General features: G+C 42.8%; 1 protein-coding gene across 37 annotated transcripts in view, besides 1 other annotated feature; it reads right to left on the bottom strand.

Moving 5' to 3' along the window:
• Positions 1-18,470, bottom strand: part of ARIH2 (ariadne RBR E3 ubiquitin protein ligase 2) — a 67,541-nt gene that overhangs the window by 38,339 nt on the left and 10,732 nt on the right. For 16 of the 37 annotated variants that reach the window (NR_146085.2, NM_001349225.2, NM_001349223.2 and 13 more), the window contains one exon: positions 2,863-2,908. The exons of 19 other annotated variants lie outside the window; for them this stretch is intronic. Coding sequence is in view for 10 of the 18 variants with exons in the window: in NM_001349216.2 (NP_001336145.1) it covers positions 2,863-2,901 (39 nt within the window). In the remaining 8 variants the exon portion in view is untranslated. Of the gene's footprint in view, positions 1-2,862; positions 3,063-4,510; positions 4,965-18,470 lie in introns of those variants that run through there. 2 more of the 37 variants (XM_017005535.2, NM_001349220.2) reach the window with 2 other exon arrangements.
• Positions 1,764-1,933: an enhancer, noted in NCBI's record as "active region_19847". NCBI's record gives its function as "activates an Ori minimal core promoter by ATAC-STARR-seq in GM12878 lymphoblastoid cells {active_cell/tissue: GM12878}" and the evidence as "EXISTENCE:reporter gene assay evidence [ECO:0000049][PMID:35858748]".

The following is an 18,470-nucleotide window of genomic DNA, read 5'->3' as shown; positions in this document are numbered from 1 at the left end:
GCTTGCAGTTAGCCGAGATCACACCACTGCACTCTAGCCTGGGTGACAGAGCAAGACTGTCTCAAAAAAATAAATAAACAAAATAAAAATAAAAATAAAATAAAAAGATAAAATGGATGAGTTTAATGGCATGTAAAACTTTAATAGAGCTGCTTCAAAAATGAGTTGACTGATGGACAGATAAATGATGAAGCAAATGCAGCAACAGATTAGCAATTATATAATCTAGATGGTATAGTATATGAATGTCCACTGTACAATTATTTAAAGCTCTTTCTTTTAAATTTTTCATAATAAAAGGGCGGAAAGTTTGTCAAATTTAATTCAACGGCAATCACTCACATAATCATACGTCACAATATACAAAGGGTTGACCCTTATATTACTGCATCAAACAGTATACTTTGACTTTTTATTTATAATCCTCAAAATAACAAATTCCACTTTACAGTTTTAACACAGTTTTCACTAAGGTTAACTGACTGTATACACTATAGAGTACAGTATAATAGTGCTAGTATAAAGTCATTTCCATATAGGCCTATAATGCTGATAACTTTACAATATTCTCTGGCTTTTTTTTTCCTTTTTTTTTTTTTTTTGAGACAGAGTTTTGCTTTTGTTGCCCAGGCTGGAGTGCAATGGCACGATCTTGGCTCACCACAACCTCCACCGCCCAGGTTCAAGCGATTCTCCTGCCTCAGCCTCCCGAGTAGCTGGGATTATAGGCATGCGCTACAACGCCCGGCTAATTTTGTATTTTTAGTAGAGATGAGGTTATCTCCATTTTGGTCAGGCTGGTCTCAAACTCCCGACCTCAGGTGATCCCCCCGCCTCGGCCTCCCAAAGAGCTGGGATTACAGGCGTGAGCCACTGTGCCTGGCCTTCTCTGGCTTTCTTGATCTCCCTGACCAAGGCTTCTGAGTATTTCACCGGATGTTCTGCTCCCATTCAGCCAGCTCCTTACCAACATCACTTTTCCACAGGCACAGCTTTTAGGCCTGCCTTCTCACTCCCTGGACTGTCTTTGGGCAATCACATTTGTGCCTGCCCCTTAGTATGAACATAAGCCCCAAAGATAAGAACTCTCTCATTTTACCGGGAGCTAGGGAAGGAAAGTGTATGAGCAAGGTAGAAAAGTGGGGGCAAGCATAAAGTTTATTGTGAAGAGTGAAGGGTACCCTCAAGTTTCTGGGTAGTCCAGAGAAGGCTTTCACAGAGTCAAAGATGGGGTCTGAGCAGAGACCAAGCGCAGCCCATGCTCCCACTTTCCCTGAGTCCTCCAAACCTGCACCACAATGGGTTAGACGCTACTGGGGAGCTTTCTTTCCAGCTTGAAATGAGCTCTCTCTCCTCTGTTCTCATTTACCCTACACATTGCTCTGCATTACCCGTAGCCCTCAATCCAATATGGCTTTGTTTTGCCATTGCATTTACAATGTCAATACTCTCAGATGGTTTCCAGATCTTTATTTCAGGAAGCATGTGCTACATGCATGTCAAAAAGGACTTTGTTTATGGTCATTTGTATTTTCCAAAGGTCATGAGCAAACACCTTCTGTCATCCTCTATAGTCTGTTTTTGACTGAAACTCTAAAATGCACAGACTATAGTGGATGACAGAAGGTGTTTGCTCATGACCTTTGGAAAATACTATCTGACACAGGCCCTCAAAACATGTTCAGTAGTTACCACTTGGTTACACTGGCCTAGAAACCTAGAGTAGATGGCTGCTTGGGAGTCAAGTTCTCCTTTCTGTTTTTTAAATGAATAACATAGTAAATGTGTCACACAGTTCTATGCCTGCTTCACAAGCAGGACTGAGGAATGGAGGATGAAGACCAGGGGGAAATTCAGGCTGTGGGCCAATAATGCTAAGATTTTCTCACAGAGATGTAATGAAGTGAATATGAATGCTTTAGTCGCTGTTACTGACGTGGTTAGCAGCATGCAAATCTACAATCTCAGCATTTTGTTCTGGAGGCACTTTCTTCCACAGTCTAAGGGTGTTAGAGACTAGAGAACTGAAATCAAACTGTCAGCTTAGAATGGAGACTACCTTATAAGATAAAACTTTGAATCTCTGTGTCCTCTGACCCGCTTGCTACAAGGAGACGGCTGCAGGGTTCAGGATCTTAAGTAAGGCAATTCCAATAGCAATTTGCTTGTGGGTTTAGACTAGCAATTCTGTGACTTGCTGCCCTACTTCTGTTTCAGCTTTATTCAGTGTAAGCAGATTGTGATATCATTTTTCAGATCACAAATTGCAAGTCCACCTGAAGTTTGTTAATAACAGCCACAAACTTATTTTCTGATTTCTACCAAGTCCCTTCCCCTCCACCGCATTCAAGCAAGTCTTCTATCAGAAGTTTAAATTAGTCATTGGAACAAACATTTGAGTCCCCTGACCACAAAGAACTTAAAATACCAGAGAGAGATCAATTCCTGCTACTGAAGGAAATGGTAAGCACATATGACATTTAGGACCCTTTCTAGCACACAACCAACATCTATCTTCAAAAAAAAGGTTTTGCGAGTTCCAGGAAATTTAACAGTTATTATTTGACACCCCAGAGCACTTGGATAGTACATGTTTATTACTCAAAATAGTGCACAGAACATACTAATTTTATATACGGATCAAGGCACATGCTAAAATAGCCCCTGCTCCTGACAACAGTTCCCCAAGGATATCCATGAACGTGATCAGTGGCTTCTTTATCTTTTTAGTCTCCTCTAGCTGGCTGAAGCTCTCCAGCCCTCAAGGACAAGTTAACAACATAGCTTGCAAATAGACTTTTCCCCCAGAAAAAAGAAATCCAGCAGCCCACCAAAACTGTCACCAGCCCTTCCCACACTTACCAGTGCCATAGGGAGGATGCAGCTGATGGCAGTGAGCATCAACGGCCTGAAAAAATACAGGTGGTAGTTTCAATTTTTATTTAGAATTCTTACTTGCCAACTGCCTGAAATCTTTTAAGGCTACATGAATGGGTCTTCATGCCTCAGCCTGCCACTTCGTGGTCCAATCACTTTTGTTAACAAACACTAGTGGTCACTCACTAAAAAGCAGAAATGAAGAAAGGTAGTGAACTGTGGGCCAGCTTCTGGGCCTGGGCTAGAATGGCTAGAATGGGACATGATATAGGAAAATCAGCCTAAAGAGATCAAGACAGATGGATTTGGGTCCGGGGGACAAGGGATGATGTGGAGGGAGGCAAGAAAGTACTAAAGGGACAAGAGGAAGAAAGAAGGTTAAAGCACAGAGACAAAGGAGTAAGTAAACACCAGCCTACGATGGGGCAAAATTAGCATCAGTAGTGGTGGTGGTAGTGGGGTCTCATAGGGCTTCTGACCCTAAACCAGGCTCACCCCTGAATCTAATTTAAGTGGTAGGATTTCATTTCTCCCATACTTCACACCTAAATATTCTCAGCCTCTAAAAGGCCCACTCTCTGGCACCTGATCATAACTTTGCCCATTCCACTTTTCTTTACAGGGACATGGAAGGAGGGTTGACTTGTAACTGAGGTACCCAAATGTTATATATGTTTTTAAGTCTGATTAATAAACACACATTTGAAGACTTCTCACCAGCCTAACCTTGATTCAGTTCTAATTGCTATGGACTCCAATCATTAAAATCAATACCAAAAAAACCAAAGACCTCACTCAATATAAGGTTATTTATACAAAATATAATAATGTAAAAATACTAACGTAATCATTCCTTGACCATAAGGGTATTTTTTTTTAATTATGAAAAATTTCAAACATCTACCAAAGTGAAGAGTATAATGAAACCCATTAACCAGCTGGTGGCCAGACCCACTATGTCTCCATTCCAGCCCTCCCCTCCTCCCTTCAGATTATTGTGAAGTAAATCCCAGCCAGCATATCTTTTAGGGTGCATTTAATGGAAACTTTTTGAGAAGGACTCAGTACAAAGAGCTGGTTACTGCCCCTCCTAGAACTCTTAACAGACTTCCAGGGGAATGCCACATAGGCAGATCATGTCCAGCAAACCCAACCAAAAGAAATGCAGATGGGAGCTGACATCAAATGAACTGCACAGAGTAGGACTAAAAGCTGTGTCCATTCCTGCAGCCACAGCCCATCCTGTCCAAAAGTTATTTGAAACAATGCTATGTCTCAGCTACTGCTACTGTAAGGAGGCAAAGACAGGGAATGCCAAATAACCAGCTAGGTAGTACCATCCAAGTACTACCAATAAGATGGTAGTACCATCTTCTCCAAAAGGAGGGTACTTCAGAGGCCAGCACATCTTAATGAAAAAGCCAGATTCCAACAGCATGTTTCAATGACAGAGCTACTACCTCATCGACTGCTTTCCTTAGCTACCCCTTTTTGCTAGAAACATATAACCCTATTTTTATAACCTTTCTGTTTATATAAAACTATATAAACAGGAAGAGAATGAAAGCCCATTGAGGGCAGAAATTTTTTGACGGATTCCTTCTCTGCCAAACCCAAGAACCTGGAACAATACCTGTGCTAGCATTAGGTCCCATACGCCAAGACCATTCTCTGTCTGTCTCCGGTGGTCCAGCCTTGTCACCACACCCACATCCACCACAAGAGCGTATGAAGGTGCCCAAGGTCTTCCAAGCCCTCAGGAATGCACAGGGATACAGGAGAGGTCAGACACAGCTTCTCTGAGACGGGTTAAAAAAAGTTGGAGGGCTTAGCAGTCTCTCGAGGGTTGCAAGAAGGGCGGAGATGCTGACAATAGGTTGGAGGAGGTTAAAATCAAGTATATGAGTTAGGGAGAGGAACAATAAGGAAATCAGGCTGGAGCCTGAAGAATCCACTTTAAATTTTTCAACAGAGCAAAATAAAGTGGTACTTTTAGTGGATGTATCAGAAAAACAAAAAGTAGAAGTAAAGGAGGGGGCAGATATTAAAGGCAGAGAGATCTTTAAGTTATTTGAAAAAGAAGAGGTTGGCGAGGCGCAGTGGCTCATGCCTGTAATCCCAGCACTTTGGGAGGCCGAGGCAGGTGGATCTCCTGAGGTCAGGAATTCAAGACCAGCTTGGCCAACATGGTGAAACCCCATAAATACAAAAATTAGGGCCAGGCACGGTGACTCACTCCTGTAATTCCAGCACTTTGGGAGGATGGGGCGGGCAGATCACCTGAGGTCAGGAGTTTGAGACCAGCCTGACCAACATGGAGAAACCTCATCTCTACTAAAAATACAAAATTAGCTGGGTGTGGTGGCACGTGCATGTAATCCCAGTTACTCGGGAGGCTGAGGCAGGAGAATGGCTTGAACCTGGGAGGCGGAGGTTGCAGCGAGCTGAGATCGTGCCATTGCACTCCAGCCTGGGCAACAAGAGCGAAACTCCATCTCAAAAAAAAAAAAAAAAAAAAAAATTAGCCGGGCATGGTGGCAGGCGCCTGTAATCCCACCTACTCAGGAGACTGAGGCAGGAGAATCACTTAAACCGGGGAGGCGGAGGTTGCACTCCAGCCTGGGCAACGGAGACTCCGTCTCCAAAAAAAAAAAAGTGAAAAGGAAAATAAGAGATCAAACTATCTTTTTCCATCTCTCCCAACATCTACCTGAAAGCTAAAATGACATCAGAAATTCAGGAAGTACTTGTTTACTGGGAAATAATTATTAAACCTATCCTAATGGCCAATGAACAAAGAAAATCAGTTGAGGCTTGGCTGGACGTAGTGGCTCATGCCAGTAATCCCAACACTTCAGGAGGCTGAAGCGGGCAGATCTCCTGAGGTCAGGAATTCAAGACCAGCCTGGCCAACATGGTGAAACCCTGTTTCTATTAAAAATACAAAAATTACCTGGGCGTGGTGGCGGGCACCTCTAATCCCAGCTATTTAGGAGGCTGAAGCAGGAGAATTGCTTGAACTCAGGAGGCAGAGGTTGCAGTGAGCTAAGATAACTTAACTGCACTCCAGCTTTGGTGACAGAGTAAGACTCCGCCTCAAAAAAAAAAAAAAAATTAGCCAGGTATGGTTGCGTGTGCCTGTAATCCCAGCTACTCGGGAGGCTGAGGCAGAAGAGTCACCTGAACTCGGGGGGCGGAGGGTGCAGTGTGCCAAGATCATGCCACTGCATTCTAGCCTGGGTGACAGAATGAGACTTCATCTCAAACAAAAAAAAAAGAAAAGAAAAATCGGGCGGTGGCTCACGCCTGTAATCTCAGCACTTTGGGAGGCCGAGGCAGGGTGGATCACGAGGTCAGGAGATCGAGACTATCCTGGCTAACCCCGTCTCTACTAAAAATACAAAAAATTAGCCGGGCGTGGTGGCAGGCACCTGTAGTCCCAGCTACTCGGGAAGCTGAGGCAGGAGAATGGCGTGAACCCGGGAGGTGGAGCTTGCAGTGAGCCGAGATTGCGCCACTGCACTCCAGCCTGGGCGACAGAGTGAGACTCCATCTCCAAAAAAAAAAAAAAAAGAAAAGAAAAGAAAAATCAATAGTTCATAAAACATAAAAGGCTCTTTGATGGAAAGGAACAACACTGCGACCTCATTCCTTTTTACCACTACCACCACCAGGTCTTCCTATCCAGGAGAAATCTTTTCCAGTCATTTGTCTAAGGTTCTTCTGGTTGTCACCAACATCACTGAGTATAACCCTAACTCTCTATGACATGTAACTTACTTAAATTGCTCCCTATCTCCCACTTTCAAGTCCCAACTTTTTGATATATAAAGCACTATTTTTAGTTCCTCCATCAGTTACTTTTGTAGCTTTAGGATGCTATTTGTAGGACCAGAATTGCATTTTCTTCACTGTGGTTCCAATGTCAATAACCCTTTGGGCCATTCAAAGGAGAATGTTCATACATCAGGCACAAATTTTTTTTTTTTTTTTTTGAGACGGAGTCTTGCTCTGTCACCCAGGCTGGAGTGCAGTGGCACGATCTCTGCTCACTGCAAGCTCTGCCTCCTGGGTTCACGCCATTCTCCTGCTTCAGCCTCCCGAGTAGCTGGGACTACAGCCACCTGCTACCACGCCCGGCTAATTTTTTTTTGTATTTTCAGTAGAGACGGGGTTTCACCATGTTAGCCAGGATAGTCTTGATCTCCTGACCTCGTGATCCGCCTGCCTCCGCCTCCCAAAGTGCTGGGATTACAGGTGTGAGCCACCGCGCCCAGCCTGCACAAATATATTTTTTGATTGCCACCAATGACTCATACTCCTGCCATGTATGTGGCTATATATATATATATATATATTTTTTTTTTTTTTTGAGACGGAGTCTCCCTTTATCACCCAGGCTGAAGTGCAGTGGTGCAATCTCAGCTCACTGGAACCTCTGCCTCCCAGGTTCAAGCAATTCTCCTGCCTCAGCCTCCCGAGTATCTAGGATTACAGGCACGCGCCACCATGCCTGACTAATTTTTGTATTTTTAGTAGAGATGTAGAGATGGGGTTTCACCATGTTGGCCAGGCTGGTGGAACTAATAAATGTCCATGAAATCTTCACAATCCATGTTCCTCTGCCATGGCTTCAGCCGGTCCCTCCATTTAGGGTCCCTGACTTCTCGCAACACTGACCTCAAGTGATCTGCCCGCCTGGGCCTCCCTAAGTGCTGGGATTACAGGAGTGAGCCACCGCATCCAGACTTGGCTCACTTGTGCGCTCTCTCTCTCTCTTTTTATCTATCTAATCTATCTATCTATCTTTTTAAAATCAATCTATCTATCTATCTTTTTTAAAATCTGGGCTCACCACAACCTCCACCTCCCGGGTTCAAGTGATTCTCCCACCTCAGCCTCCCGAGTAGCTGGGATTACAGATGTGTGCCACCACGCCCAGCTAATTTTTTTTCTTTTTTGAGACGGAGTCTCGCTCTGTTGCCCAGGCTGGAGTGCAGTGGCGCGATCTTGGCTCACTGCAAGCTCCGCCTCCCGGGTTCACGCCATTCTCCTGCCTCAGCCTCCCGAGTAGCTGGGACTACAGGCGCCCACCACCATGCCTGGCTAATTTTTTGTATTTTTAGTAGAGACAGGGTTTCACCATGTTGGCCAGGCTGGTCTCTAACACCTGCCTCGGCCTCCCAAAGTGCTGGGATTACAGGCATGAGCCACTGTGCCCAGCCTGGGGGTTTCTTTTTGAGGTAATGGAAATGTTCTGGAACAAGATGAAGATGATGGTTGCATAACAATGTGAATGTACTAAATGCCACTGAATTGTATACTTTAAATGGTTAGTTTTAGGTTATGTGATTATTACTTCAGTTTTTTTTTTTGTTTTTTTGTTTTTGTTTTTTTTTTTTTTTTTTTGAGATGGAGTCTTGCTCTGTCACCCAGGCTGGAGTGCAGTGGCACAATCTCGGCTCACTGCAAGCTCCTCCTCCCAGGTTCACGCCATTCTCCTGCCTCAGCCTCCCGAGTAGCTGGGACTACAGGCGCCCACCACCACACCCGGCTAATTTTTTTGTATTTTTAGTAGAGACAGGGTTTCACTGTGTTAGCCGGGATGGTCTCTATCTCCTGACCTCATGATCCACCCGCCTCGGCCTCCCAAAGTGCTGGGATTACAGGCGTGAGTCACCGCGCCCAGCTAATTATTACTTCAAATTTTTAAAGGGAAGAAGGGTCAGGAAAATGCATCCTAAGCTCTGTGTACATAAACAGAACCTGTCATTTTAGGGTGATCCATGAGAGACAGCTATTACTCCAGACTCAAGGGCCCCCAGATGATAAATGAGATCAGCCAAATCTCACACTCTAAGGGTCCTATTTCTCTGCAGTTTATCTCATTTCTTAAAAATAAAGGTTTTGGCCAGGCGCCCCCGTAATCCCAGCACTTTGGGAGGCCGAGGCAGGCAGGTCACTTGAAGTCTGGAGTTCAAGACCAGCCTGGCCAACATGGTGAAACCCCACCTCTACTTAAAATACAAAAATTAGCCAGGTGTGGTGGCAGGCGCCTGTAGTCCCAGCTACTCAGGAGGCTGAGGCAGGAGAATTGCTTGAACCTGGGAAGCAGAGGTTGCAGTGAGCTGAGATCACGCCACTGCACTCCAGCCTGGGGGACGAGCAACACTCTGTCTCAAAAAATTAAATAAATAAATGGGTTTCTTTTGTTTTTATGTAGTTGGTTTTTTTTTTTTTTTTTTTTTTTTTTGGTCTAAAGACCCAGTGGGGACAGGGATGACTAGTCTATATACAGCTGTTTTATTAATTCCCCCATTTGCAGCACACTTATCTCTTCCAACATTCATCAGTCAGATCAGAGTCCACGGTCTTTTCAAAATTTAGATAAACTGGCTTACATTTTGTAATGATGTCCCCAGACAACACCCCACTCCAACCCATTCTGTTTGTTACTATTAGTTTACAACATGCATGTGCCTTTACTTTCATTTTCATAGTATTTAAAAATGGAAGGGCACTCCCAAATTTACTTTAACCCCTTTAATAATCTCTCTCCTCCTGCTCTCTCTGGTCCTCCAGACAACTGTTGATTTACTTTCCTTTATGATGGATTAGTTTGCATTTTCTAGAATTTTATATGACTGACATATAAAGTTTTTATGTTTCTCCCCTTTGGGTTTCTTCATGTGGCATTTTTTTTTTGAGGTTTATCAATGATGCTTATATAAGTAGCTCATTCTTTCATACTGCTGAGAAGTATGCAGTTCTATGGGTATGCCACTGTTTGTTTAGTGAGCTGCTTCCAGTTTTTGGCCATTGCAAATAAAACTACCACAGACATCTGAATACCAAAACAAACAGAAGAAGCAGAGGTAGGGCAAAGGCATGTGCAGCCAACCATCTTGAAGTAGCAGTGTTAATAAATTTGTAAAAGAAAATTTGGTGTATTCTACTACAGTATCATAAAATTCAAAACTTTTAAACCACATTGTATTTATGACTAAAGATGCCATCAGTCATCTCTACATCATCAAAAAGGACAGCCTGGCCAACCTGGTGAAACCCCATTTCTCATCATCAAAAAGGACATAGAACCCATTTTTTTTTTTTTTTTTTTGAGACGGAGTCTGGCTCTGTCGCCCAGGCTGGAGTGCAGTGGCACAATCTCGGCTCACTGCAAGCTCCGCCTCCCAGGTTCACGCCATTCTCCTGCCTCAGCCTCCGGAGTAGCTGGGACTACAGGCGCCCGCCACTACGACCGGCTAATTTTTTGTATTTTTAGTAGAGACGGCGTTTCATTGTGTTGGCCAGGATGATCTTGATCTCCTGATCTCATGATCCACCCGCCCTGGCCTCCCAAAGTGCTGGGATTACACGTGTGAGCCACCGCGCCTGGCCAGGTTTATACCATCTTTATTTGGAGGTCAGCTGGCTTCATGAAAAAGTCCTTTGAAGAGAATGTCTTCTGTTTACAAATTGAAGCACACAGAAGTAGAGGTTTGGAGTCAAATTTTCAACTGTGCATTTATTGGCCTGGGCTTAGACATATTAAAAAGCAACACTTACTGAGAACATAACATAACCAGACATTTCTGCCAGGTGCTGTTAGGTAAAGAAAAAATATGGACCTCTATCTCAAAGAGTTTATATCCTAGTTTACAACTAATTGGCAAACACTGTAAGCACACACCAAGAAGAAGCACAGTGGTACAGAGGCAAGAGTGACAGACTCTGTCTGGGGATCAGGGAGGGATTCATGTAAACAAGGGGTAGAGGGTCAATCCTCTATTTCCGGGTTGGTGGATGGTGGTACCAACAATTAAGATAGAGAATCCAGGAAACCAAGCTTGATGGCATTAGAAAGATTTCTTGTAAAAAGAGGCAAGGTTATCTACAGACTCCTGGAAAGGATGGTGACAGAATTGAAGAGACTGTTAGCTTACCAGGAAAAGAAACTGCTAGTCAAAGAGAATAACTTTTCCAGATATAGACCACATTTTGTTCACAATTATAAGAACAGCTCTGTTTTCCTTTTAAAATCTCCAAACAAACCCCTTGCTCATCCTGCCTGTATTTTTCTCTATTTATGATCAATAACATGGTCATCACTGTGAAATCATTCATGTTTTTTTTTTTGAGACGGAGTCTCGCTGTGTTGCCCAGGCTGGAGTGCAGTGGTGCCATCTTGGCTCACCGCAAGCTCCACCTCCCGGGTTCACGCCATTCTCCTGCCTCAGCCTCCAGAGTAGCTGGGACTATAGGCGCCTGCCACCATGCCCGGCTAATTTTTTGTACTTTTAGTACAGACAGGGTTTCAACGTGTTAGCCAGATGGTCTCGATCTCCTGACCTCGTGATCCGCCCGCCTTGGCCTCTCAAAATGCTGGGATTACAGGCATGAGCCACAGCGCCCGGCCTGTTTTTGTTTTTTTGAGACAGAGTCTCGCTCTGTTGCCAAGGCTGGAGTGCAGTGGTGCAATCTTGGCTCACTGCAACCTCCGCTTCCCAGGTTCAAGCGATTCTCGTGCCTCAGCCTCCCAAGTAGCTGGAACTACAGGCATGCACCACCATGCCCAGCTAATTTTTGTATATTTAGTAGAGACAGGGTTTCACCATGTTAGCTAGCTGGTCTTGAACTCCTGACCTCAGGTGATCCGCCTGCCTTGGCCTCCCAAAGTACTGGGAATACAGGCATGAGCCACTGTGCCTGGTGGAAATCATTCATGTTTATAAAGATTTAAACTTTATAAAAGTTTAAAGTTTAGATAGAAAAGGAACTTCATGTTTGACAGTTCATGTCAGTTTAAGAAATAAAGTTAGAGGGCAGATACATTTCAGGAGGAGCAAAATACTCCTCATTCTGCACCTTTTTCAAATCTTTCCTACAATTCTTCCCTCTTTGGGGAAGACAAATCTAATCCTTCAAATTTTTCCTAGAGCAGCAAGGGCAAAGAAAAAAAAAAAGATAATTAGATTGGAGCAAGGCAAAATTAAAGTACGGAGGTGTCTCAATAACAAGAACCCCCAAAACAAGTAAACACTAAGTAGTGCTATTAACATAGGCATAAGACCAAACATTGCAGTCAACCACAAATACAGGTACAAACAAGCTATTATTTCCCTGTATCTTTTTCCCGGCTCCAATTCAAAGTTCATTTTGTGTTGTTTTTACTTTTCTTTTGGTGGGTCCCAGGAGAAGAGAACCAGAGGCTCTAGGGGAAGGTAAAATAATCCAAAGTATATGACCCAATATCATACGCACACTCAGACGCACCAGTCAGCAATACATTGCCCAGAACCATCCTCAATGTGTAGGCTCCTACCCTATGATTCAAGACACACAACCCTGAGAATGTGTTTTAAGGAACCAAGACAAATAACACTCCCATCCTTCCACTTTTGCCCCGCTTCTACCATGACCAAGCAAAATCGATTTGAACATTCATGTTCCAGGCACTTTATCTGCATTATCATCACATTTAATGTTGTGAAGGAGGTGTTATCATTATTTTACAGATGAGGAAACTCAAGCATAGAGATGCTGACAGACTTATCTGAGGTCATATTATATTAAATGGAAAAAATGGGACTGGAACCCAATCATCTGACCACTAGCCCAGACTCTGGACAAGGCCCAACAGACATAAAAGTCATATCCATAAAGACATTCACAACAATGTAACCAGTCCCCCAACAACTGTAATACATAGGTACTCACTTAAATGCCCAATGCAGAAAGCTTAAGCAAATTACAGTTCAAAAACAAGATGGCATGCTACACAGCCATTTAAAGTATTTATGAGGACAAAGTAAAAATGGGGAAATGTTTGAAATATACATGAAAAAAGCAGAATGCATAAAATACATATATCTACTGATTATTATAATGCAATGTCTACCAGGGCAGAGATTTTTGTCTGTTTTGTTTACAGTTATTTTTCCTGTTATGTGCCTGGCACAGGAACATAACAGGAGGCGTAGTAGGTTCTCAATAAATACCCAATATTGGTTGAATGAAATACTGAACAATAATGCTATGTATGAATATGGACAAGAGCTGAAGGATGATAAGCAAGCAAGAAAACTTATTTTAGGTTAATGAAAACATGAATGATATTATTTTCTTAAATACTGTAGTAACATCTTGACAAAAAAATTTATAAACTCAAGATTAAAATATAAATGTCAAAAAAAAACAAACACACACAAATACCGTATCACCCCTTGATTACACATGACTTCCATGTTTCCTGAGGTAGACAGAAAGCACAACAAAAAGACTAGAATGAAAGCTGGCCTTGAATCTGATGAAGAGCTTCTTTTCTGGAAGATGATGAGCATGTTTTGTATGGTATCAGGTACACAGCGATGACAATAACTTTTCTAAGCTGGCAAGACAAGGACATCTTTGCACCATTTGTATTTAGGCCATTCTCAATGTCACTCTGGACATTTCTCATCGCCTTTTAAAAATGAATTTACACATCAGTAAACACACCTCAGACTTCTGGACTAAAACACTGTGAAACATGTTAACAAACCTATTAACGGCCAGCTATTTGAAACGCAGGAATTTAACCTAAGTTCTACTTAGATAGAGGCATGCAAAGACAGCTCACATCAGATCACAAAAATAGAAATCAGAGGGCTGCTCAGCACACAAACACTCAGTGTAACCAGGCCCAGCTTGAAGATACTTTCCCATGAGTAGTAGCAACAATAATAACAACAACAACAACAAACCATTATTGGTCAATTAATGACTGTAAGTAAATAAAAATAGAATGATCTTAAAATTCAGCTATATCAGAATAAAAGAAAATTGATTTAATAATTAAAGTTTTCACCAGATACTTGTTATCTTTTAACTTGGCATTATATAAGTATTTAGTACCAATTAAGAAAATGGCTAAAATAATGTATTTTGTTGTTATGAACACCAATTGATCACGTTACAAGTGAAAAAGGCAAAAAAGCCAGGTTGTTTTGAACACAGGACTATAAAGACTTCGGCACTTAAGAGTCAGAAGCCCTGACAACTCATTACTATTCATCTACAGAGGGGAAAAATTATCCACAGCAGAATCTTAGAGAGATTTTCCAGTCACATTTTGCTAAAGAGCAAACACCAGATTTTTAAAAAAATTCACAAAAGAGTATGGCAGAATAGAGTGTTCTAGGAAATATTTTCATAGCTTTACTGCAGTTAATACAGCAATTCATAAAGCAAGAAGAAATGTAGTAAAAACATTTGTGATAATTGGCATATTTCTCCAATCCTATCTGGGGAACAGGCTTAAAAAGTGAGCAATAGGGACAGGCGCGGTGGCTCACACCTGTAATCCCAGCACGTTGGGAGGCTGAGGCGGGTGGATCATGAGGTCAGGAGATCGAGACCATCCTGGCAAACAAGGTGAAAGCCCGTCTCTACTAAAAATACAAAAAAATTTAGCCGGGTGTGGTGGCGGGCACCTGTAGTCCCAGCTACTTGGGAGGCTGAGGCAGGAGAATGGTATGAACCCGGTAGGCGGAGCTTGCAGTGAACCGAGATCGTGCCACTGCACTCCAGCCTGGGTGACACAGCGAGAGTCCGTCTCAACTAAAAAAAAAAAAAAAAAAAAAAGTGAGCAATATACTTCACTATGCCACACATGTGCTGAATAAGTTTTAAAAATCTATTTAAATACCTATTTAAAATCCTAGGCTCAGTGTGGTGGCTCACGCCTGTAACCCCAGCACTTTGGGAGGCTGAAGTGGGTGGATTGTCTGAACTCTGGAGTTTGAGACCAGCCTGGGTAACATGGCAAAACCCCGTCTCTACCAAAAACACACACACACACACACACACCCCCGGGCATGTGGTGCGCACCTGTGATCACACACACACACACACACACACACACACACACACACACACACACACACACACCCGGGCATGTGGTGCGCACCTGTGGTCCCAGCTATTTGGGAGGCTGAAGTAGGATTGTTTGAGCCTGGGAGTTGGAGGCTGCAGTTAGCCAACATCGTGCCACTGCACTCCAACCTGAGTGCCAGAGTGAGGCGCTGTCTCAAAAACAAAAAATCCTATTAAAAACCTATTCCTATAGTTTACAAAACCTATTCCTTTCCACCAACAGCAAAGATGCTTGAGGCTACAATCATAATATTCCTTTCTACCTATACATCTTTGACCCTCATTCCAGCCCAGAAGATAACCCTCCCACTCCCATGCCCATTGCCCTGTGGAGCCAGGACTTCTATAACCTGCATTGCCCTTCTACACCACCTTCAAGGTCCTCTGGCCTCAACACAAAGCTCAGGTAGCTCACTACACCTCCTGGACTAGATCTAGCTCAAAGTGGCCTATTTCTTTCCCCTCCTGAAGCAATGGGGTGGGTCCCTGAACAACATTCACTTCTCCTGCCCACACCCCTAACATGATGCTAAGATGAGGGCACTAGGAGAAAAAGACTCTTGACCCATCACAAACCAAAGCCAGCTCCACAGTCATGATCCTGCCTGGGCTTTGTCTGGGGCTCTGGCTGAGCCTCTTCCTGAGCAGCTTGTCAGCAAATATCTCAAGAGTTCCATGGAATGGTAATTAAAAGGACTCACTGAATAACTGAAAAAAATTATTGGCTAACTACTGCACATTTTGTAATAAAAATGCTTATGGTTACAAGAAGGACCTCTTTCATCTATAAAGACAAAATAATCTTTGTATAAGTCTCATATAAAAATACACTGTAGAAAAAGGTAACTTTGTTTTCTTTAAAGACTCATACATGATCACTAAAATTACTTATTCCCCAGAGATCCCCTCCTCCTACAACACAACACCTCACTTGGCAATCATTTCATCTCATTTGACTATTCCATTTGTGATTTGTGTAGGATAGTTCATTCTCAAATAATGCTTCTGTTTTGCCACTATTTGAATGCCAGCAGCTTCCCCACCACACTAACAGATAAGCATTTTCTCTGTTCTCTATCTTGAGCCCTTGATCTGATTTTCTGGGCACCTTCCTCTCTCAATAATGACTTTACTCATAGACTGGTCCCAGAACATATACAGGAAGTTACCCTCTGACATCAGGGCCCTCATTAAACTAAAAGCCCAGTGTCCCAGACAATTGTGATTTTTCTTTTTCTTTTTTAGACAGAGTCTTGCTCTGTCACCCAGGCTGGAGTACAGTGACACGATCTCAGCTCACTGCAAGCTCCGCCTCCTGGGTTCACGCCATTCTCCTGCCTCAGCCTCCTGAGTAGCTGGGACTACAGGTGCCCACCACCACGCCTGGCTAATTTTTTGTATTTTTAGTAAAGACAGGTTTTTCACTGTGTTAGCCAGGGCTCTCCTGACCTCGTGATCCACCTGCCTTGGCCTCCCAAAGTACTCGGATTACAGGCGTGAGCCACCGCACCCGGCTGAAAATTGTGATTTTTCTACTTAAGACACTTTACTCAGCTAACTCAGGAGGCTGAGGCAGGAGGATCACTTGAGGCCAGGAGTTTGAGATCAGCCTGGGCAACATAGTGAGATTCTGTATCTTAAAAAAAAATTTTTTTTGCAGCTTTTTGAGTCCACTTAAAAATTTTTTCTCTTTTTTTTTTTTGAGACAGAGTCTCACTCTGTTGCCCAGGCTGGAGTGCAGTGGTGCGATCTCATCTCACTGCAACCTCTGCCCGCGGGTTCACACCCATTCTCCTGCCTCAGCCTCCTGAGTAGCTGGGACCACAGGCATGTGTCACCACACCCGACTAATTTTTTGTTTGTATTTTTAGTAGAGATGGGGTTTCACCGTGTTAGCCAGGATGATCTTGATCTCCTGACCTCGTGATCCACCCGCCTCGGCCTCCCATAGTGCTGGGATTACAGGCGTGAGCCACTGCGCCTGGCCAAAATAAATTTTTGTTTAATTAGTTGCACGCACCTGTAGCCCCAGCTACTTGGGAGGCTGAGATGGGAGGATAGCTTGGAACCCAGGAGTTTGAGGGTACAGTGAGCTATGATCATGCTACTGCACTCCAGTTGTGAGACAGGGCAAGAGCTCATCTCTAAAAAAATTTTTTTTTAAATAATAATTTTTAAAAAGAGACTTCAAATCCCAAATGGCAGTAAAAGGCTTAATTTTATGCTATACTATAAATAATCCACATGCAACTGCCTGGACACAACAAAATGAGTACACAGACATGAGAATCAAGTGAAAAATTTAAGCCACTCCTCAAACTTGGATAGTTTTTACTCATAGACTAGAATTCGTAAGGCTATAATTTTCAATTACATACACACAACATTTTCTACAAGCCACAGAACTTAAATTACATTAAAAAATTAAATGTTTCAATATGCCACAGAATTGTGCAATCAGCACTACGACCAATGGGATATCAGTAGTGATCTGGGTGACTATCACTATCAATCACACTTTCAGAGACATGTGCAACAAGACAACCAGAGTAGCCGGAACACCATTGGGTAAACTAAGCACTTAAATTATTCCCTCTCATCCTCAAAAAATATTAATTACAAAAATAAAAACAGGCCAGGAGTGGTAGCTCATGCTTGTAGAGGAATTTGGGAGGCTGAGGTGGGAAGATGGCTTGAGGCCAGGAGTTTAAGACCTAGGCAACATAGCAAGACCCCATCTCTACCAAAAAAAAAATTTTTGTTGTTTTGAGATAAGGTCTTGCTCTGTAGCCCAAGCTGGAGTATAGTGGGGGCAATCTCAGCTCACTGCAACCTCCGCTCCCAGGCCCAAGTGATCCTCCCACCTCAGCCTCCTGAGTAGCTGGGACTACAGGAACATGCTAGCACGCTCAGCTAATTTTTGTATTTAAAATATAATTTTAAAAATATAAGTAAATAAAAACAATGCTAGCTTGTATCTTGCCTCAAAGAAAAAACTTTGTATATGATTCCTTCTCCTTTACTCTTAAGCAAGCTGCTTTTCTGTCCAGTCTCTTTGGTCAAGTTTCTGAATCACTTAAAACACCAGAGTCCCTTTAGGTACAGTCAACCCAACCAAAAGAGCCACAACCTTTTTTTGCCCAGCCCCAGAAAGTAAATGGTGTTAACATATTTCTCAGTGAAGTGCAGAAGGGAAAAAATAAACTCTCAACATCTAAATTTTTGTGGATTATTTTCCTCTTTGCTCCATTTTCTCTTTAACCCTTTCATACTGTTTCAACTCTCTTCCTTCTCTTATTTATTCCCTCATCTCTGCTACAAGTTCTTTTTGCTCTTACTCTTCTCAGTCTTAAAGGCCAGAACAATGCCCTTTCATTTCATTTCCAACAGGAAACAAAATGTATCAGGGACTAGGAAATCTAGCTCACACCCACAGCAGCAGCTGCTACTATCACCAACAATCAACAAAATCCACAAGTATCCAAGCAATTATTCAATACCTACTGTAGATGAAATAGTGTGACAAGAATGATGGAGGAGATAAGGTACAAGACAGTTATTGCTCTCCAAGAACTGACAATCTAGTTGGAGAGATCATGCCAAAATGTGTGAACAGGTAAAACATAAAGCAGTCAGAAGACTGCAGTACATAACCTAAAAAAATAAACGAGCTGTAT

This window comes from Homo sapiens, chromosome 3, assembly GCF_000001405.40.
Source record: "Homo sapiens chromosome 3, GRCh38.p14 Primary Assembly".
In the NCBI taxonomy this organism is placed as follows: Eukaryota; Metazoa; Chordata; class Mammalia; order Primates; family Hominidae; genus Homo; species Homo sapiens.
This window is presented reverse-complemented; position numbering and strand designations above follow the sequence as displayed.